This window comes from Homo sapiens, chromosome 16 (genome assembly GCF_000001405.40).
Source record: "Homo sapiens chromosome 16, GRCh38.p14 Primary Assembly".
NCBI lineage: Eukaryota > Metazoa > Chordata > Mammalia > Primates > Hominidae > Homo > Homo sapiens.
The window spans coordinates 4,648,154-4,669,254 of NC_000016.10; the positions used below are offsets into that span (position 1 = coordinate 4,648,154).

Genomic DNA, 21,101 nt, shown 5'->3' on the forward strand with positions numbered 1-21,101 from the left:
AATACGTGAGGTTGAGGACCATGTATTCTGAGCATCCTTGAAATCCACAGGTCCCTGCAGCTACCCGGGTCCTCCCCTCGGAGACTCTTCCCGTGGTCACCCGGCTCCTCCTCCCGGGGACTCTTCCCGTGGTCACCCGGCTCCTCCTCCCGCGGGCTCTTCCCGTGGTCACCCGGCTCCTCCTCTCGGGGACTCTTCCCGTGGTCACCCGGCTCCTCCTCCCGGGGACTCTTCCCGTGGTCACCCGGGTCCTCCTCCCGGGGGCTCTTCCCGTGGTCACCCGGCTCCTCCTCTCGGGGACTCTTCCCGTGGTCACCTGGCTCCTCCTCCCGGGGGCTCTTCCCGTGGTCACCCGGGGGCTCCTCCCGGGGCTCTTCCCGTGGTCACCCGGGTCCTCCTCCCGGGGGCTCTTCCCGTGGTCACCCGGGTCCTCCTCCCGGGGCTCTTCCCGTGGTCACCCGGGTCCTCCTCCCGGGACTCTTCCCGTGGTCACCCGGCTCCTCCTCCCGGGGACTCTTCCCGTGGTCACCCGGGTCCTCCTCCCGGGGGCTCTTCCCGTGGTCACCCGGCTCCTCCTCTCGGGGACTCTTCCCGTGGTCACCCGGCTCCTCCTCCCGGGGCTCTTCCCGTGGTCACCCGGGTCCTCCTCCCGGGGCTCTTCCCGTGGTCACCCGGGTCCTCCTCCCGGGGCTCTTCCCGTGGTCACCCGGCTCCTCCTCTCGGGGACTCTTCCCGTGGTCACCCGGCTCCTCCTCTCGGGGACTCTTCCCGTGGTCACCCGGGTCCTCCTCTCCGGGGCTGTGTGCCAGGAGAAATGGGGCTGGATCTGGGCGTCAGGTCAGGAATCCAGGGGAGAGGCCATGCTCTCAGTGTTCCTTGGCAGGGCTGTGAGCGCAGGTCTCTGAGGATGCCCAGCTGTCCATCCCCTCCTCATAGGAGAAGCGCAGATCTCATGCCTAAGTGTGCCAGGGTCCTGATGGGCGCCACCTACAGCCTCCCGCCCTCACGCGGGAGTCAGACTGAACGAACTAGCCCAGATCCACAGAGACTTCTAAACCCGGCTGGGTGCTGCCATGGAAAGTACACAGGGCTCAGATTTGGGGGTAAGGTGACTTAGCCTGGGGTCACGAAATGTGTAAGGATTTCTTGGGGTGGCTGTGACAAATGACCTCTAACCGTGGCTTGAAACAGCAGAAATGTATTCTCTCACCATCACAGAGGCACACGTCAGAAACCGAGGTGCCAGCAGGGCCACGGTCCCCGAAGGCGCTGGGGGAGGACTCTTCCTTACCTCTCCCCACTCCTGGGGCCCCAGGCACTCATTGTCATCCCTGGGCTTGTGGCCGCATCACTGCAATCTCTTGCCTCCATCTCTTCCCTTGGCCTTCCCTTCAAGTCTGCGTCCAAACCTCCCTCTCCTTTCTTCTGTTAAGAACCAGTCACTGGATTTAGAGCCCCTCAATCCAGTATGACCTCCTCTTAACTTGATTACATCTGCAAAGACCCTAGATCCAAATAAGGTCACATGCACAGGTAGGGGCTGGGTGTGGAGTAGGACCCGAACTTCATCGGAAACACAGCTCAGGCCACTACAGAAGAAAGTGGTGTTGGAGCTGGATGCTGGCTGATGGGCTGGGAGCAGCGAGGAGCCGTCCAGGGAAGGGTGTTGAGGCTGGCAGTGTGGAGAGGCCAGGAGGCCACCTTGGAAGGCCCGAGGCCAGGTGGCCGAGGCAGAGGGTATGAGGGGCACCCGCTGGCCTGTCTGCATCAGCTCCCCTCAGGTGGAGCCTTTCTCAGGGCCGAGCTTCTTGGCCGTCAGATGTTCCCACCAGGCTGTGTTCAGCCTCAGAGTCGATAACTGTTTCCAGGCTGGGCGCCGTGGCTCATACCTGTAATCCCAGAACCTTGGGAGGCTGAGGCGGGCGGATTACCTGAGGCCGGGCATTGGAGACCATCCTGGCCAATATGGTGAAACCCCGTCTCCACTAAGAATACAAAAATCAGCTGGGCGTGGTGGTGGGTGCCGGTAATCCCAGCTACTCGGGAGGCTGAGGCAGAAGAATCGCTTGAACCCGGTGGGCGGAGCTTGCAGTGAGCTGAGATAGCGCCACTGCACTCCAGCCTGGGTGGAGCGCCACTGCACTCTAGCCTGAGACTCTGTCTCAAAAAAAAAAAAAAAAAATCTATAATCGTGTTTCCTTTTTTAAACAGGAAACTACTTTGCTTCGCACTTTTTCATGGGAGGAGAGAAATTCGACACCCCCCACCCTGAAGGTTACCTCTTTGGAGAGAACATGGATCTGAACTTCCTGGGCAGCCGCCCGGTCCAGGTGGGTCTGGACAGGGCTGTCTCATGGGGCTGTGGGGGTGGGAGGCCCCTGTCCCCAGCAGTCCGCATCCCAGCCATGAGGGCAAGCAGGCACCAAATCACCCCTAAAGGGGGCAGAGCTCCTGGCAGGATTCCAGTTGAGCTTGGGTGTGGGCACGTGCCCTGGAATGGGTTGTGTCCTGGTGCTGCCCCCTAGAGGCCAGATGGCCAGGGGCAGGTCACTGAGAAACAGAGCAGCCATACTGAATGGGTGCGTCTGGGCTGCAACGGCTGCGGAACATGGTGGATTTGATTCCAGCCTTCTTGGATGACTTTCTTTACAAGGCAAAAATAGTATTTACAGACTGGGCATTGTGGCTCACGCCTGTAATCCCAGCACTTGGGGAGGCTGAGGCGGGCAGATCACCTGAGGTCAGGAGTTTGAGACAAGCCTGGCCAAAATGGTGAAACCCCGTCTCTACTGAAAAAAAAGAAAAATTAGCCGGGTGTGGTGGCACGTGCCTGTAATCCCAACTACTCGGGAGGCTGAGGCAGGAGAATCACTTGAATCTGAGAGGCGGAGGTGGCAGTGAGCCGAGATTGCACCACTACACTCCAGACTGGGCAACAAAGGGAGACTGTCTCAAAGAAAAAAAAAAAAAAGAATATTTACTTTCCCTAGAACAGTGGGCAAGAGACATGGTCCAAAGGAGAGATGCAGACAGCTGGCTAACATCTTCCCCTCGTTGCCAGAGAAGGGCACATTCGAGTACTGTCATAGTACTCGAGTACTGTGAGCTGTCTGTTCAGCACACATGTGGCACCTGCTGCGTGCCTAGTGCTCTTCCAGGGCTTGGGGTGAAAGCAGACCCTGCCTCTGCTACCTGGTGGGGGCGTAGACAATTAATACGGGACAAATGGGTAGAAGAGAGAAGGGGCAGAAAGGGAGGCTCTACTGGAGAGGCCATGGCTGAACCAAGCCATGATAGGTGGGAAGGGGGCCCCTCCAGAAGAAGCTAGAAGGCAGGGGGCCTGGGAACAGAGGAAGAGGTGAGAGGGTGCAGGCCTCAGGGGACAGGAGGCCGGAAGAGCCAGTAAACTTTGGGGGCCCTGGGGCGGGTTGCTGAGCTGTGCTCGTAGGAAGCTTTGGGGATGGAAAGGGTGGGGACTGAGGAAGGGGCTGAGGGTGCTCGGGGCAGTGATGGATATGGGAAGCCTGGGAGAGCAGGTTGGGGATGGGCAGCCCCAGCGTGCAGGGGTCTGGCGTTGAGGCTGCCTGGCTGGATTTGCTCAGGGTGATTTGGTCCTGGCCGTTGCGTGTGCTGGCTGCGTGGCCTGCAGCTTCTACCTGTAAATGAGAACAGTGCACCCAGTATAGCCCCTCCCATGGGACTAGATCCCAGGGATACCCTCTGGGGCTGTGGCTGCTGCACCCTGACCCGTTTTCTGTTGTTGGCTGCTCCTGAGGGAGTCACCTGGGGCCCTGTGGTTTTTCTCCTAGTTTCCCTACGTCACTCCTGCCCCCCACGAGCCCGTGAAGACGCTGCGGAGCCTGGTGAACATCCGCAAAGACTCCCTGCGGCTGGTGAGGTAACTTCACCCTGCCCCTGGGGACCCTGTGGCTCTGTGGGGCGCAGCCTGTGGTGGAGGTTCTGGCTTGATGCTTGAGGAAAAGGGCAGGCGGGAGGGGCCCCAGTTTCTGCGCCCTCCCGTGTGGAATGAGAGGCTGTCCTGGGCTGAGCGAGGGAAAGGGCATGTGGAACAAGAGCCGTTTAGCCAGGGCTTCTCAGCTGTGCCGCACAGGGACCCTGGGCAGTGTCTGGAGGCAGCCAGGTGGGGTGCTTGGCATCTCAGGTGGGTGCCAGGGGTGCTGCAGACTTCCTGCCATGCACAGGACGGCCCCCCCACAGACAGGAATGACCCAGCACCAGATTTCAGCAGGTTCAGAAACTGCTTAAACCGACTAGACTTGAGGCATCTGGGGCTGTCTCTGAACCAAAAGCACGTACCCCGTCTTCTGTGGGCAGGAAGAAGGAGAGGCAAGCCCTGGACCACTGGGCTTTCATGTACAAATAGGAAACAGCCCCTATGTCTACTGGAGAAGCGGGCTGTGTCCACATAGCCACCTCCACGGCCCCTCAGCCTGGCAGGGGAGGAGGCAGCCTCCGCAGATGGGGCCGCTGACCCGCTGCCTTTCTCTCCACCGCCTGGGGTAGGTACAAAGACGATGCCGACAGCCCCACCGAGGACGGCGACAAGCCCCGGGTGCTCTACAGCCTGGAGTTCACCTTCGACGCCGATGCCCGCGTGGCCATCACCATCTACTGCCAGGCATCGGAGGAGTTCCTGAACGGCAGGGCAGTGTGAGTCCCGCGGGCGGCTGGCACCGGCCTGGCTGGGGGCCCCAGACTCCTGGGGGAGGCTTCTGTCCACCTTACTAACCAGAGGGAGAAAACCAAACCGTGCTCTTTGACCATACTCCCAGGACTTTACCACGATGTGAGGGGTTTCTCCCACCCCAGGGACTCCCCACTTTTCTGCGGGAACCAGCTGGGGTCCTTTGACTGGTTTCAGTTCCAACGCTGCCTGGAGGTCATGCAACCCCTGCACTTTGAGGGCCCAGTCCCACAAGACTGCCCCACTTCAGATGCCACTCATAAGCCCCCGCTGTCACCTGAACTTCTCAGCAACCAGCCATAAATCAGGCTCCCACAGTCCCCTCCTCAGGCTTGATGAGTTGCTAGTGTGGCTCACAGAACCCAGGGAAACACTTGGCTGGTGTTTGTTGGTTTATTGTAAAGGATTCAGATGAAGAGGTTCACAGGGTGAGGTGTGGGGGAAGGGGTGGGGCGCACCACCTTCCTCGTATTCAGCAAACCAGAAGCTCTCCTGAAAACCCCATTTCAGGGCCTTTTCTGGAGGCTTCATCACGTAGGCAGGATTGATGATTAACTCCATCTCCAGCCCCTGTCCCCTCCCTGGAGGATGGGGCTGGGCTGAAATTCAGTTCCAGGTTTTTGTTTTGTTTTTGTTTTGTTTTGTTTTGAGACGAAGCCTCACTCTGCTGCCCAGGCTGGCGTGCAGTGGCACAATCTTGGCTCACTGCAACCTCCGCCTCCCGAGTTGAAGCAATTCTCCTGCCTCAGCCTCCTGAGTAGCTGGGACTACAGGCACGTGCCACCACGCTTGGCTAATTTTTGTATTTTTAGTAGAGATGGGGGTTTCGCCATGTTGGCCAGGATGGTCTCAATCTCTTGACCTCATGATCTGTCCATCTCAGCCTCCCAAAGTGGTTTTTGTTTGTTTTTGAGACAGAGTTTCGCTCTTGTTGCCCAGGCTGGAGTGCAATGGTGTGATCTTGGCTCACTGCAACCTCCGCCTCCTAGGTTCAAGTGCTTCTCCTGCCTCAGCCTCCCGAGTAGCTGGGATTACAGGCATATGCTACCATGCCTGGCTAATTTTGTATTTTTAGTAGAGACGGGGTTTCATCATGTTGGTCAGGCTGGTCTCAATCGCTCGACCTCAGGTGATCCACCTGCCTCGGCCTCCCAAAGTGCTGAGATTACAGCCGTGAGCCCCCATGCCCGGCCCACCTGGCCCAGGTTTTTGTTTGTTTTTCCTCGGGAGCTCTTAGACGACACTTCCAAGTCTCTAATCATGGCTTGGTCTTTCTGGCAGCCAGCCACCTCCAGGAGCCAAGAGTCACCTCACTGGCACATAAGACACTCCTACCACCCGGGAAATTCCAAGGGTTTGGAGTTCTGTGTTGGGAGCAAAGGTCAAGGAACAAATATTAGAACAAAAGAGGCTCCTAGCACCCCTGTTGCTGAGGAAATGACAAGGGTTTTAGAGGACTCTGTGTCAGGAACTGGGGCTGGGACCAAATATTTATTTTTTATTGTGTCATAATTAGATATTTGTACTTTCAGAGGTTTTATTTGAGATAAGGGTCCTTCTGGCCCTGAAAGTTTGAAAACTGCAACTTCAGCAGGAGCTGGCAGGACTGCCTCCAGGCTACAAGGGCACATGTGCCCCAAGTGGCTTTAGAGACAGGCAAGAGCGTGCCCCCTGCCTTCCTGCACTGGAGCACACCGCTCAGTGGTCAGCTTTGCATCTGGGGATAGGGTGTGGTTGAGAGCCTAGGCTTTGAATGCTGTCCCCGCTGAGTGGCTTGGGGGCACATGACTGCTTGTGCCTCTGTGTCCTCAGCTGGAAGTTCGGGTGGGTGGTGTGAGGAGGGGACCATGTGTCCTGTGCACAGCCCCTCGCGTGACAGGTGCTCTTGAAAGGAGCCTGAGTGCTCGAGTTGAGGGGCTGGTGGAGACGACTTATGTGGGGAGGTTCTTAGGGACCTGCCACCAGGTGAGGCCGCCCTTGGGCTCTGGCCTTGGGCTCCCCGGCAGCCAGGGCTCCTCCTGTGGAGCAGCACTTTGGGGAGGAACAGGTTCCTTTTTCTAGACTTTGTTCTTTGAGGCTCTACCTTGCCCCGGCACTTGATTATATTTCTTTAATGACACTAGTAATGCATGCCTGTGTGCTATGACAGGCGTCGAATTCTTGGGCGTAGGAGCATTTGGAGTGACCAGGGCAGGCCCCTCTGTCCCCTCCTTGCACCCCACTGCTTGGGGTTGAGTGTTTGACACCCACGGGGCCTGGTGCCCTCCTCGGGCCTGGCCGACATGGTGGAGGAGCTGGGTTGTGGCGAGGTGTCCAGGGGCTGCCACAGAGAGGGTGTGGGCTGAGGACACAGGCCAGTGTAAGTTGTCTATCCGCTGCCCCCCAGTGCTCCAGCTGTCAGGGGCTGGGTGACCATCTCAAGTGCACTTGAAGAGAGGGTCCCGCTGCTACCAGAAAGGCTAGAGAGAGCAGAGAGGGTGCCCTGCCAGCCCTGGCTGGTGTCACCCTCTCCTAGACCCCTGCGGGCTAGTGATGAGAGAAATGCCACAGTCCCCCCCTCTCAGGACCTGGCACAAGGCCAGCTTCCCCTCCCAGCAGGAATCACAGAGCAGGAACAGCTCCAGTGCCACTGTCCCCCTCTGTCAGGACCTGGTACGAGGCCTGCTTCCCCTCCCAGCGGGGATCACAGAGCAGGAACAGCTCCAGTGCCACTGTCCCCCTCTCTCAGGACCTGGTACGAGGCCTGCTTCCCCTCCCAGCAGGCATCACAGAGCAGGAACAGCTCCAGTGCCACTGTCCCCCTCTCTCAGGACGCGGTGCAAGGCCAGCTTCCCCTCCCAGCAGGGATCACAGAAAAGGACCTGGAGGCTCCAGGACCTGGAGGCTGTGCCCAGGCACCCGGACACCATCCAGCCTGCCAGTGCTCCATCCATTTGAGCTGCAGGGCAAGCCACCCTCCCTGCCTCCTGACAAGGAAACTGAGGCTCAGACAGAGGGGTGTGTCCAGGCCTCCGCATCTCACAGGAGAAGGCTGGGGTCCACCTGAGGGTGGCGTCTTAACTGTGCCTTTTACTGAGGCTGAGCCCGGGCCTCCCCTGTAGTGCCTCCAACCATGCTGGGCTCTGGCGGCCATGGCAGGCCTCTTCTGCCTTTGTGTGTACAGTGGTGGCCCCCCCACGCCCCATCCCATTTCTGAGCTTGGTGTGCCTTTGTCCAGGAGAGCCTGTGGAGCCCTGGCCACAGGCAAGCAGGGCGGTGGGGTGGAGGGGAGGGGCTGTGGATTGTGAATTGGGTTCCTGCATGGAGTTTTATCAGAAATGAAACTGCTTGAGGCACCTGTCTTAGGGATGCACTCGTGCCTGTGGCTAAGACATGCAGAAGGGCGGTCCTTGAAGCAGTGTTGGGAAAAGTGAGATGTTGGTGACCATCTGCTGGTGTCCCCCAGGGGCCCTGACTGAATCAGTAAAACCAAAGCGGGACCTGTGTGGTGGTTCACAGGACACAGCCCCTGATGTGTGCAGACGCATGAAAGAGCAGTGTTGACGCCTACCCCGTCTGAACGTTGAGGAAGAGAGACCCGCGCTGCATGTGGGCACCATTGTGCCTCCGCCTTCCGGGAGTGATCTGTGGGTCTCTGCTGGGGCGGACAGCAGGCCTCTGGGAGCAGGCGTGAGGGTTGGGGAAGATGCATTTTGCACTGTGTATACTTAAGTACTGTGTTCATTTAAAAAGTAAACTCAAGCTGGGTGCAGTGACTCAGGCCTGTAATCCCAGCACTTTGGGAGGCTGAGGCAGGTGCATCACTTGAGGTCAGGAGTTCGAGACCAGCTTGGCCAACATGGTGAAACCCCATCTGTACTAAAAATAAAATATTAGCCTAGCATGGTGGCGCACACCTGTAATCCTAGCTACTTGGGAAGCTGAGGCAGGAGGATCACTTGAACTCAGAAGGCAGAGGTTGCAGTGAGCTGAGATCACAACACTGCACTCCAGCCCAGGCGACAGAGCGAGACTCTTATCTCAAAAATAAATAAATAAATAAATAAATAAATAAATAAATAAATAAATAAACAAACCAACTTAGCACCGATGGAAAGGAAAAGCACAGCTACACTGGGGAGGTATCAAAGGGATTGGGCAGGTGTGGGCTCTGGGAGAATTGTAGCCAGGCCTGACCTGGGGAGAGCTGCATGGTGAGCAGAGAGGCCGTGGAAGGCCCTGGAAGGGTGAGGGCCACGTGGCCATGTAGGCTGTTTGCTGTTCCCCATGAGAGAGGGTCCCCAAAAGACAGGTGTCTGCGGCCCTTCCAGCTGTCGGAGTGGGAGGGACGGGCACGGAGGGCCCTCTTCCTGCCGCAGCCTCACTGCTTGCTCCTGGCTCCCTGCAGATACAGCCCCAAGAGCCCCTCGCTACAGTCCGAGACCGTCCACTACAAGAGAGGGGTGAGCCAGCAGTTCTCCCTGCCCTCCTTCAAGATTGACTTCTCGGAATGGAAGGATGACGAGGTAATGCTGGCTGGGCGGCTCCTTGCCCTTCGCTCCTCCTGAATTCTCTCCCCTTGGGGGTGGGGCCAGCACAGTGGGGTCTGTGTGTTTGGCTTCCTCCAGGGTTCATAAGACCTGGGAACGGCCGCCCCAGTCTGTGCTCAGGTGGACGTGTGGATGGGCGGGAGCAAGGCCTGGGCCATGTGCTGATGGGGCCAGGGGACCAGAGGCCGACCAGGCAGCCGCACTCGGAGGCTCAGACACTGGGGTTTGGGGAGATGTGAAGAATGGGGCACCCCCTGCCAGGCTGCAGCAATGCAGGGTCTGTTCACACCAGGTGGCATTCCTTCAAGCTTTTTAACCTTACTTTTGTTTAAAATCTTGGTGCAGACATCCTTTTTTTTTTTTTTTTTTTTTTTTTTTGAGACAGTCTCGCTCTGTCGCCCAGGCTGCAGTGCAGTGGCGCGATCTCGGATCACTACAACCTCTGCCTCCTGGGTTCACAGCATTCTGCCTCAGCCTCCCGAGTGGCTGGGACTACAGGCGCCTGCCACCACGCCCGGCTAATTTTTTGTATTTTTAGTAGAGACGGGGTTTCACCGTGTTAGCCAGGATGGTCTTGATCTCCTGACCTTGTGATCCGCCGGCCTCGGCCTCCCAAAGTGCTGGGATTACAGGTGTGAGCCACCGTGCCCGGCCATTGCTGCAGACCTCTTTTAACCAGGTCTTTTGTAGGTTGCGGCTTGAGTGGCTGCTTTGCTAGTTGCTCCTCCTAGGCCCCTCTCCAGCTTTTAGTCAAAGCTGTGTCCTCCCTCCTTCCCCCTTTGCCTTGTTTTCCAGCGTCCATCTGGTCTGCAGCTTGCAAAGACCCTGGTCCAGGGGGTTCCTGTGTAACAGTACAGACCTTGTGTGGCCGGGCGCGGTGGCTCATGCCTGTAATCCCAGCACTTTGGGAGGCCGAGGCAGGCGGATCACGAGGTCAGGAGATCAAGACCATCCTGGCTAACACGGTGAAACCCCGTCTCTACTAAAAATACAAAAAAATTACCCGGGTGTGGTGGCGGGCGCCTGTAGTCCCACCTACTGGGGAGGCTGAGGCAGGAGAATATCATGAATCCAGGAGGTGGAGCTTGCAGTGAGCCGAGATCACGCCACTGCACTCCAGCCTGGGCGACAGAGTGAGATTCCGTCTCAGAAAAAAAAAAAACAATGTAGACCTTGTGGGTCCCAGGTCTGAGGCCAGGAGGAGACACTGACCACATGCCCTGCTAGCAGGCCTCATGAGCTGACTTACGCTGGGGCCAGTCCTGTGGCTGTGTTCCTGACGTTTAGCCACTCTCTGTAAAAAGCCTCCCTTGTCCTTGCATTAAAAATAAAACAAGCCAGGTGTGGTGGCTCTCGCCTGTAATCCCAGCACTTCGGGAGGCTGAGGTGGAAGGATCATTTGAGGCCAGGAGTCTGAGACAAGCCTGAGTAAAACCTTGTCTCTATGAAAAATACAAAAATTAGCTGGATGTGGTGGTATTTGCCTGTAGTCCCAGCTACTGAGGAGGCTGAGGTGGGAAGATCGCCTGAGCCTGGGAGATGGAGGCTGCAGTGAGCCATGATCGTGCCAGCGCACTTCAGCCTGGGTGACAGAGCGAGACCCTGTCTCAAAAGTAAGACTACCTGGGAGTGGGGGACCACCAGGTTGTCTAAGGAGGGGTGAAAACCGAACAGATCAAAACTCCCATGCTGATCAGTAGTGGGATTGTACCTTGGAATAGCCACTGCAGTCCAGTCTGAGCCACATAGCGAGACTCCATTTCTTAGGAAGGTAAAAAAAAAATAAAAATAAAAATAAAATAAAAGTAAAATAAACGTCTCCCCAGACTCCCTCGGGTGGGTGGAGTCTCTGTCCTCTCCCGGCATCACTGGCGTGGACCCTGCACCCTGCTCTCACGTGTGACTGTGGGTGCTGTGTGGCGTGTGTGCTGAGCTCTGGGGAGTGGGAGTTTGGGAGGTGTCTGTGTTTCCTGTTTGTTTCATGTTTCCTGGGGTCCCTCCCCAGCCCCTCTGGGGAGCCCCAGTCTCCGAGCCCTGTGAGCCATGGGTTTGCAGGTGAGGTGGCCGGGGTAGGGGAGTGGTCATTGTGGCCAGCTTCCTGAGGGGTACGGTGTTTAGGGCCCAGAGAGGGTTGGAATCACGATGCCCCCAGTTGTCCTTACCTCTGTCCCGGACTTGGCACTGGACCCGCCAGGGGGCCTTTGGTGAGGGTTTGCTGAGGAAGCTGAAGGAGGGCCCGCGTGCAGCATAGTGCTGGCTCGTCTGTGGATGGCCACGCTGAGTTGGCGCACATAAGGGGCAGCTGCTGCTGCGGGGCCTTCAAGGTGCTATCCTTGTCAGGACTTTTGTGGATGCAAGTGACAGAAAAACATTTGGTCTGGTTTAAGAAAAGAAAACCAGAGACTTACTGGTGTAGATTCAGAGAAGGCTGGGTGGCCTGAGATTTCTTCCAGGGCCTGTGTCATCAGGGTGGGGATCTCTGTGGCTTAGCCTCCCATCTCCCTCAGCTGGCCCTGCTCCAGCGCGTGGCCATCCGGCTGGGTCCGGAGATGCTTGGAGGCCGTGTGTCTTCTCTTTGTGGCCCCATTTGGGGCGGGGGCCTCCCGTCCTGCAGCCAGGCCGCAGAGACCTGGAGTAGGAGGGAGACGCTTCCCCGAAGAGAACCTGAGGGGCTCAGATGCTGGGCCAGGCATGGCTTAGCATCAAGAGCGCAGCTGCAAGGACAGGCCACAGGGGTGCCCAGCATGGCTGCACTGGCCTTGCCCAGGAGCAGAGAGGACATGTGTGGAGGGGCTGGGGGCCCACTTTCGTTCTGCCGCTTTTTCTCTCTAGAGTGTTAGGCCAGTTCTGCAGCTCTGTGAGCCTGGGTTTGCCCCTCTGTAGACTGGGGCTGGAAGCAGTCCCTCGCAGGGTGGCCACGAGGGGTCCGTGATCAGCATGCAAAGGGCTTTACCTGGAGCCGCCCACTGTAAACCCGTCTGCCAGCCGGGGAGTGGGAGAGAAGGCTATAGCCACCATCTTGCACGCCTCCCCAGACCGTTGGTTTTTATTCCACACCAGTAAAGCACTGTCAGCACCTAGTTTCTGCAGTGTGATGAGAAAAAAAATCACAGCTCACTCAGAGGCTCCTCAGAGCACAGAGCGGCCCACGCCAGTGCTGAGGTGCTGGCTGCGCGGATGCATTCCAGGCCTGGGCAGAAGCGAAGGGGTGGGCAGGGGCGCGGGGGTGGATGCGCTCCAGAAAGCTCTGCCTCCCCCGTTTGGCTCCATCACCTAAAGGAGTGGCTGCCGGTGCGCGAACTCCCCATTTCCGGGCTTCATGACAGCCCTTGTGGCAGCAGTGTGGGAGCGTTGCCAGGCAACCCTGGGACGATGACTCCTGTGTGGACTCAGTGGAGTGGGCAGGAAACAGGCTCACAAGGGGCCTACAGTCCCAGCATGATCAGCCCTGACAGGCCCCCCAGACCGGGGAAGGGAGTGTCCCTCACTCTGGCAAGCCCAGGTGTCTGTGGTATCCCTCAGACGGCTGGGAGCTGGAGGCCTAGCTGGGTCCCAGTGGGTGTGAACATGTGCCCCACGTCCCTGCAGCCTTTTATTTTTCCCCCTTTTTTTGAGACAGGGGCTCACTCTGTCTCCCAGGCTGGAGTGCAGTGGCACAATCACAGCTTGCCGCAGCCTCGAACTCCTGGGTTAAGCGATCCTCTCACCTCAACTTTCACAGTAGCTGGGACTACAGGTGCCACAACTACTGGCTGATTTTTTTTTTTTTTTGGTAGAGACAGAGTTTCTCTATGTTGCGTAGGCTGGTCTCAAACTCCCGGGCTCCAGCAATCCTCGTACCTCGGCCTCCCAGAGTGTTGGGATTATAGGCGTGAGCCACCACGTCAGGCCCACCAGTCTGCAGCTTTCTGATGTGTGTGGACGTTTTCACAAAGCCGTGGCCCAGGATTGGCCGCCTTGGCCACCTTTCGCACCCTTTTCTCCTGCACCCTCCAGCCCTCTCCCGGAGGAGGCTGGGTCGGCTCCTGTTGCCTGGACACACAGGGCTTCAGGGTGCTGGTGTTGACTGTGTGTTCTGCCAGCCACAGCACTTGGAGCTTTGTGTTAGGCACGGCTTCCGTTCCATTTTGCCAAATGGGGAAACTGAGGCTCAGGTGGGGTTCTAATTGTAGTGAATGGGTGAGGAGCTAGACTTGATGCCGGCAGCCTTGACTCTGGCCCTGGGCCAGTGCCCTGCCAGCTCCTGGCTCCACCCTTCCTCACTAACAGAGACCACGGCACTTCTCAGCCTTCACAGCATAGCCCCCAGCATCAGTGTCTCTGTCCACCTCTGTCCATGTGTGCGTTGTTGTCCATCCCATGGGACTTGTGGCTGGAACCCCTGACCCTTCCTCGTGAGATGCGGGGCCTAGGTCCGTGTGGACTTGGTCTCCAGGCTTGTGGTTTGTTCAGCAGATGGCTGCCTGCCCAGGGCTTCTTGTGTGGATGGGTTACGTGTGCCATTCATTCTGGTCTGAATGGAACTCTTAGCTCCAGATGGCAGGAAGCTGCGGTAGCCGTGTGCCAGGTGCCTGTGGGTATGGAGTCCCTGCTGGGTGGGGACATGCCTGGGAACGCCAGGGTGCTGCCAGCCTTTGCCGTGTGTCCATGTCCACATAGCCTCCCTGGTTCGCAGTCGGGTACTTTCTTGACACTGATGTTTGTCCCCGTCCCCTTCTCCTGACTGCTGTCTGTGGTCCGCTGTAACTCCTTTCTTCTCGTCTGTATTTTTGGTAGGAAATTCGCTGTGTTGACAAATGTTAGGAAGAAACATTTCCCTCGGTTCCTTAAATAATAGTAATATTTGGCCGGGCGCGGTGGCTGACACCTGTAATCCCAGCATTTTTGGAGGCTGAGTTAGTCGGATCACTGGCGGTCAGGAGTTCGAGACCAGCTTGGCCAACATGGTGAAACCCCGTCTCTACTAAAAATACAAAAATTTAGCTGGGCGTGGTGGCGGGCGCCTATAATCCCAGTTACTTGGGAGGCTGAGGCAGGAGAATTGCTTGAACCCAGGGGGTGGAGGTTGCAGCGAGCCGACATCCTGCCACTGCACTCCATCCTGGGTAACAGATCAAGACTCTGTCTCAAAAAAAAAAAAAAATCATAATAGTAATACTCACAACAACTGTAGCAGCCACCACAGGCAGTGTCTCTGTGCTGGGTCTGTCGAGAGGACTTCATTTGCGCTTTATCCTTGAAACCCATGCGGTAGCGTGGTATTGACCCCATTTTACAAGGAAAGAAGCCGAGGCTCGGAGGGAGGAGGGCCTGAGATGAAAGCCACCCTGGTCACTGGGGTGGGGACGTGTGCCCCTGCCCTGCTTCCGCTGCCCACTTCACGGGGGGACAGCAGGGGAGAGGAGACATCCTATGTGTCTGTTGGTTCTGAGCATTGCTGTTCAGGGGCGGGTGCTTGGCTGCGGGCTCAGGGTTCCCTTGTGCTGGGCCAGGAGTAGTCCCACCTGGACATCCGTGGGGGTGGTTGCTGCAGACATGGAGGGGCTTGTCCCTTCCTCATGGGTCTTAGTCAGTGAGGCCTGTGGTCGGTCTTGGGAGGCAGGAGGCTCTCCCCTCACCCAACTGCCCTTGCCTGGGCTGGGCCTGCCAGGCCTTTCCTATTTGATGTTTCATCCATATTTTGTTTTTGTTTTTGAGACGGAGTCTCACTGTGTCGCCCAGGCTGGAGTGCAGTGGTGTGATCTCGGCTCACTGCAATCTCCGCCTCCCGATTTCAAGTGATTCTCCTACCTCAGCCTCCCGAGTAGCTGGGATTACAGGCATGCGTCACCATGCTTGGCTAATTTTTGTATTTTTAGTAGAGACAGGGTTTCACCATATTGGCCAGGCTGGTCTCAAACTGCTGACCTCAGGTGATCCGCCACCTAGGCCTCCCAAAGTGCTGGGATTACAGGCGGGAGCCACGGCACCTGGCCTTGTTTTTTTTTTTTTTTTTTTTTTTTTTACACCTTTATTGTGTTATAATTACCATCTCCTGCAGCTCACTCGTGTTAAGCGAATGATTCGCTGGCTTTTAGAATGCTCACAGTGGCACAGCCAGCATCTGTTCTTTCAGTAAATCTTCATTGAGAAATAAATGATTCTTTTTCTTCCCAGAATAAACAGATGCATGTGTCCATTGCTGTTCTGTGCCAGACACCGAGGATGTCATGGTGACTGGAGAGGCAGGGTCCCTGCCCTCTATGGAGGGAGTCAGGGAGCCTGATGGTGGCCGGTGGCTTTCCTGGTTGCCAGGGTATGAGCAATAGAAGCCCAGGGGCGAAGTGCTTCCTGAGGCCCAGAGAAGGACGTGGCCTGTAGAGAGTAGGGCGAGACCCACAGAGCAGTGCTGGGGAGCAGGGGTCTGAGAGGATGGCACTGTGCTGGGCTGACTGCTGGGGCCCTGGGGGCCGTGGGGAAGAGGGTGGCCTTCAGCCTGTGCACAGCAGGGGGTGGGATGAACGCAAGAGGAAGCTTCTCTTTGGACTCAAGCCAGCCTCGTGGTCTCCCTTGCTTGCCTTTTGTGTTTGCTGGGGCCAAGTCCGGTGCCTTCTTCAGAAAGTTACAGGGAGTTGCCCAGTGACCAGCACTTCCCCTCAGAGGCACGCACCCGGGAGAACTGAAAACGCGGTTCAGGCAGACACTTGCGCACCGGTGTCCAGTGCAGCGCTGCTCACCGTAGCCAGGACACAGGCCCAGCCCGGTGTCCGTCGCAAAGGAACGCGTGCACAGCGTGTGGATATCCACACAGTGCCTGTTATTTGGCCAGAAAAAGGAAAGCAGCACCGATGCGTGCTGCACCGTGGGTGAACTTTGGAAACATACCTAGACACAGAAGGTCACCTGTTGTGCAATTCCATGTAAATGACAGGTCCAAAAATGGCAAATCCCTGGAGACAGGAAGCACATGGTGGCTGCCGGGGGCTGGAGGAGGGGATGGGGAGTGTGTGGGTGCTGATGGCTACGTGTGGGGTTTCCGTTTGGGGTGATGAAAAGTTCTGGAAATGGATGGTGGCGGTTGCATGACATTATAGATGTACTTTACTCAACGCTGTTGAAACGTAGTTAAAATGGCAGATTTTGTGTTGTATCTGTTTTAACACACACATAAAAAAGGTGCCAAGCCTGGCATCCGCCTTCCCTGCCATCTCGAGGCGTGTCCTCTGAGCTCTGCTGCTGCCTCCTGCTCCTGCCTGCTTTGTCCAGCTCATTTGTTGACCGACTCCAGGCTTCCAGGCTTGGCTGTGTGGGTCCTGACCATTCTTGGCAACTCTCTCCTCAGCTGAACTTTGACCTGGACCGGGGCGTGTTTCCAGTAGTCATCCAGGCTGTGGTGGACGAAGGAGATGGTGAGTGCGTCCTCTTCCGTCCTCCTGGGCGTGCAGGCCGTGCAGGGAGGAAGCACGTCTTGAGGGAGGAGTGCTTGCAGCAGTGATGAAGCAGGCCAGGCATAGGGCCTTGGGCTTCCCACAGGGCAGGGTGTGAGCAGCTTGGAGTCCCGGGCAGGTGAGGAGGTGGAAAGTGCAGGAGGGCAGGTCCCAGAACAGGCTCAGGACTCTATGGACTCTGTGCAGGCTGAGCCCTCGGTGCCGCAGGCCTACCAGGGTCGGGGAGGTGAGATGCCTGGGTGGGGCAGGCCCCGACTCTGACTACTCTGCCCCTCTCTCCCCAGCAGTGGTGGAAGTGACTGGCCACGCCCACGTGCTCTTGGCTGCCTTTGAAAAGGTAAGTGCCATCTGGCCATCACTTTCCCGGGGACCTGGGAGCTGGGCAGGGGGTGGCCTTTTGAGACGAGAAGCCTGAGCAGGGGCTGGGGCTTGGTGGGGTGGCTGAGTGTCAAGGGCCCCGGGGCAGGTTGGGGCGTGTCTGTGGCTTCCTGCTTTCTAGCATTCTGGTCCTGAGGCCGAGTGCCGCTGTCAGGAGGCTTAGCATTTCCTTTTTTTTTTTTTTTCTTTCCTGAGCCGGGCTCACTCTGTCACCCAGGCTGGAGTTCAGTGGCGTGATCTCTCTCGGCTCACTGCAACCTCTGCCTCCTGGGTTCAAGCGATTCTCCCACCTCAACCTCCCGAGTACCTGGGAGTACAGGTGTGCACTACCACGCCTGGCTAATTTTTGTATGTTTAGTAGAAACAGCGTTTCATCATGTTGGCCAGACTGGTCTCAAACTCCTGACCTCAAGTGATCCACCTGCCACGGCCTCCCAGAGTGTTGGGAGTACAGGCGTGAGCCACGTGCCCGGCCTTTTTTTTTTTTTTTTTTTTGAGGCGGAGTCTCACCCTGTCATCCAGGCTGGAGTGCAGTGGTGGGATCTGTGTTCACTGCAACCTCTGCCTCCCAGGTTCAAGCGATTCTCCTGCCTCAGCCTCCAAGTACCTGGGATTACAGGCCCATGCCACCATGCCTGGCCAATTTTTTTTTTTTGAGACAGAGTCTCGCTCTTTTGCCCAGGCTGGAGTGCAGTGGCATGATCTTGTCTCACTGCAGCCTACGCCTCCCGGGTTCATGCCATTCTCCTCCCTCAGCCTCCCAAGCAGCTGGTACTACAGATGCCCGCCACCATGCCCAGCTAATTTTTTTGTATTTTCAGTAGAGACAGGGTTTCACTGTGCTAGCCAGGATGGTCTCGATCTCCTGCCTCTTGATCCACCTGCCTCGGCCTCCCAAAGTGCTTGGATTACAGGTGTGAGCCACCACACCTGGCCATCTCTTTTCTTTTTTTTAAACAGGGTCTCGCTCTGTTGCCCAGGCTAGAGGGCTGTGGTGTGATCTCAGCTCGCTGCAGCCTTGACCTCCTGGGCTTAAGGAGATCCTCCCACTTCAGCCTCCCGAGTAGCTGGGACTATAGGCATGCACCACCACGTCTGTCTAACTTAAAAAAATTTTTTTGTAGAGAAGAGGTCTCGCTATGTTGCCCAGGCTGGTCTCAAACTCCTGGCCTCAAGTGATCCTCCCACCTTGGCCTTCCAAAGTGCTGGGATTACAAGCGTGAGCCACCGTACCTGGCCAAGAGGCTTTTCAAAGGGTACTTGGAGTGTGTTGAGGGAGAACATTGTAGACTGAGGCCAGCCCTGTAGAATTCTGTAGAGCCTGCTGCCATGCCACGGGCTGGGGCTCCCACAAGGAGGGCTGTCTGCGGTAGACTGCCTTCGCCCTGGGGTGTGCAGAGATCAGCAATGTTGTTACCTCCTCGGGCTGTAGCTTTTTCCTACCAGGCTCAGTGTCCTTGGGTGTCACCTGGCACATGTCACAGACCCCCAGTCCTGCTGCTCCTTCCGCCACCTGCCTGCGGCACTCTGACCCTGCAGGCTGGGCAGGCCCTGCTTCCTACAGGAGCCTTTTCCTGACACCACTCAGGACAAACATCTGTTGTTCCCACTTGATGTTCACGAGGGCAGCACTGTCCTCTTGGGTGTCTTGGCATCCCCAGAGCTGAGTTTGATGTCTGGCACAGAGCAGACACTCAGAACACTGGCAGGATGGACGAGGGGTTGCTGCCCACCTGGCATGGGTTTCTGCTGAGAACCTGGCGGAGGTGGTGGGACGCACGCTTGTTTGATAGTGCCTTGGTGCCTCGGTGGCCCCGCCCCCAGTGTGCACTGACGTTCATCAGCACCCTGCCGTTGCAGGTCTGCGTGGCACCATCCTGCTGCCTAGGAGTCGGAGGGGGAAAGGATCCCGTGTGACAAGGCCCAGCCTGCCTGCTGCGGGCTTCACGCTGCCTCTGGGTCCTGCCTAGCCCAGGCTCTCCACCCACCTCCAGCCCCATGTGCAGCCGCAGCCCCTGAGAGCTCTAAGTGCAGAGTCCAGCTCTTACCTGTGATCTGGGTCTTTCTAGAGCACCCCAGGGTCGGGGGTTCTGTTAGCTGGGTAGAGGACCCTCTCCTCTGTGTGTCCTGTGGCGAGGCTGGGTCTGTTCTCTCCCGGGTCCAGGACCACAGACTGTGGTGACACAAGTGCCCTGGGCAGAGGGCAGCCTTCTGCCTTTTTAGTACTGGGCTCCCCAGCTGCTCTCCCCGGCCCGGACTCGTCAGAAGCCACGGTGACTATTGACACATCTGCATCCTCTGGCAGAGGCAGATGGGACATCTCTGGCAAAATGGTCTATTCTGTGCTTGAAGTACAGAACCCAGTGGGAAACTGCTTTATTTTTGGAGTCCAACATTCTGGAAATTTCTGTTAGAACCCACCAGCCTCACTGGAAAATTCTGAGTGCTGATGGTGGTTGACTGAGAAGGGATAATGAGTGTTGTTGCGAGGTCTCCGATCTCAAGCCGTAATTAACCTTGTTGAACTCTGAGCGGTGGTGTGTTTCCCTGGATACCGCCGGGTGTGCTTGTTCTATTTCGTTCCTGCGTTTTTAGAGCTTTGCGGTTCCCTGTGTGTGCACCACTGTGCGTGCTCCCGCTCTGTCTTTCTAACTCAGCCGGGCCTGGGAGAGCAGGAAGCTGTTTTGTCTGTCTTGATTCTTGCTGCCAGGTGATACTTCTCGGTGTGCAGGAGGCCCTTGTCCATCATCTGAACTTGGCTGATTGGCATTCAGCTTGAGTGTGCTTGAGACCAACCGAGGAGAGTTGGGTTCTGTGGGTCAGCAGAGGGTCCCCGGGCTGTGTGTTCTGGAGGCCTCAGATAGTTGCACAGCCAGGCCTGAGGCCGTGTTTTCAGAAATCCCGGCTCTTTCGCTGTCAAGTGGCCCCACCCTTTTTTTTTTTTTTCTTTTTTCTTTTTCCAGCTGTGGGCATGGATTGGCTGGGGCAGGGTGGCCAACCCAGGCGGCCACGCAGGGGTGCTCAGAGGCGCCAGCTTGACCACCTTAACCTCTTTGTCTTTCTCCCCTGCAGCACATGGACGGCAGCTTCTCTGTGAAGCCTTTAAAGCAGAAGCAAATTGTAAGTCATCAGAGGAAATATGACGTGCTTGAATTAAAAGACACACATATACAATCACTCACACGCATACTCATACATAGACACACACTCATACACACGCACATATACTCATACACGCTCATACACACTCATACACATTCACTTGCACATATATACGGACACACATACATACCATCAGACACTCACATTCACACATATATAGACACATAAACACACAGACACACACATACACACATAAACACACTCCTACTCGCACACACTCATACAGACACGACACTCATACACACATACACTCACACTCACATGCAGTCATTCAGATGCACACACTCAGACACACTCATATACTCAGTCACACACATATACATAGACACACTCGTACACATACACACATACACTCACACTCACTCACATATACATAGACACATACTGATACACACACATATACCCATTCACACACACATAGACATTCATACACATATACACATACACACACGTATACAGACACACACTCATACACATACCCACACATATACTCACACACATAAACTCACATGTATACTCATACACATATACATAGACACACATTCACTCGCACACATATACAGACATACATACACACAATCACTTGCACACATATACATAGACACACTCATACAATCACTCACGCACATATACAAAGACGCATACACTCACATAGACACACACACATACACATATGTACAGACACACATATACTCACACACACTTATATATAGACACACACACACACTCTTCAGTAGTCTTCATGCACTGGTCTTCCTAGGCTACCCTTGCTGCTGCCTTTGAAATAACTGTGCAGGGGCTGGGCGCAGTGGCTAACGCCTGTAATCCCAGCACTTCGGGAGGCCGAGGTGGGCAGATCACTTGAGCCCAGGAGTTTGATATCAGCTTGGCCAACATGGT

The 21,101-nt window shown here is 56.5% G+C and overlaps 1 protein-coding gene across 5 annotated transcripts in view, besides 3 other annotated features; it reads left to right on the forward strand.

The window, feature by feature from the left end:
• Positions 1-21,101, forward strand: part of MGRN1 (mahogunin ring finger 1) — a 66,147-nt gene that overhangs the window by 23,328 nt on the left and 21,718 nt on the right. For all 5 annotated transcript variants that reach the window (NR_102267.2, NM_001142290.3, NM_015246.4 and 2 more), the window contains exons 2-8: positions 2,212-2,330; positions 3,810-3,898; positions 4,525-4,671; positions 9,093-9,210; positions 16,556-16,622; positions 16,949-16,998; positions 20,112-20,159. Coding sequence is in view for 4 of the 5 variants with exons in the window: in NM_001142290.3 (NP_001135762.1) it covers positions 2,212-2,330; positions 3,810-3,898; positions 4,525-4,671; positions 9,093-9,210; positions 16,556-16,622; positions 16,949-16,998; positions 20,112-20,159 (638 nt within the window). In the remaining variant the exon portion in view is untranslated. The remainder of the gene's footprint in view (positions 1-2,211; positions 2,331-3,809; positions 3,899-4,524; positions 4,672-9,092; positions 9,211-16,555; positions 16,623-16,948; positions 16,999-20,111; positions 20,160-21,101) is intronic.
• Positions 5,993-6,494: an enhancer, noted in NCBI's record as "H3K4me1 hESC enhancer chr16:4704147-4704648 (GRCh37/hg19 assembly coordinates)". NCBI's record gives its function as "activates a minimal SCP1, AML or CMV promoter by ChIP-STARR-seq in primed H9 embryonic stem cells {active_cell/tissue: H9 hESC(primed)}" and the evidence as "EXISTENCE:reporter gene assay evidence [ECO:0000049][PMID:30033119]".
• Positions 6,495-6,994: an enhancer, noted in NCBI's record as "H3K4me1 hESC enhancer chr16:4704649-4705148 (GRCh37/hg19 assembly coordinates)". NCBI's record gives its function as "activates a minimal SCP1, AML or CMV promoter by ChIP-STARR-seq in naive and primed H9 embryonic stem cells {active_cell/tissue: H9 hESC(naive and primed)}" and the evidence as "EXISTENCE:reporter gene assay evidence [ECO:0000049][PMID:30033119]".
• Positions 12,455-12,749: a silencer, noted in NCBI's record as "tiled region #2432; HepG2 Repressive DNase matched - State 5:Enh, and K562 Repressive non-DNase unmatched - State 18:Pol2". NCBI's record gives its function as "represses a minimal TATA promoter and a strong SV40 promoter by Sharpr-MPRA in HepG2 and K562 cells {active_cell/tissue: HepG2 | K562}" and the evidence as "EXISTENCE:reporter gene assay evidence [ECO:0000049][PMID:27701403]".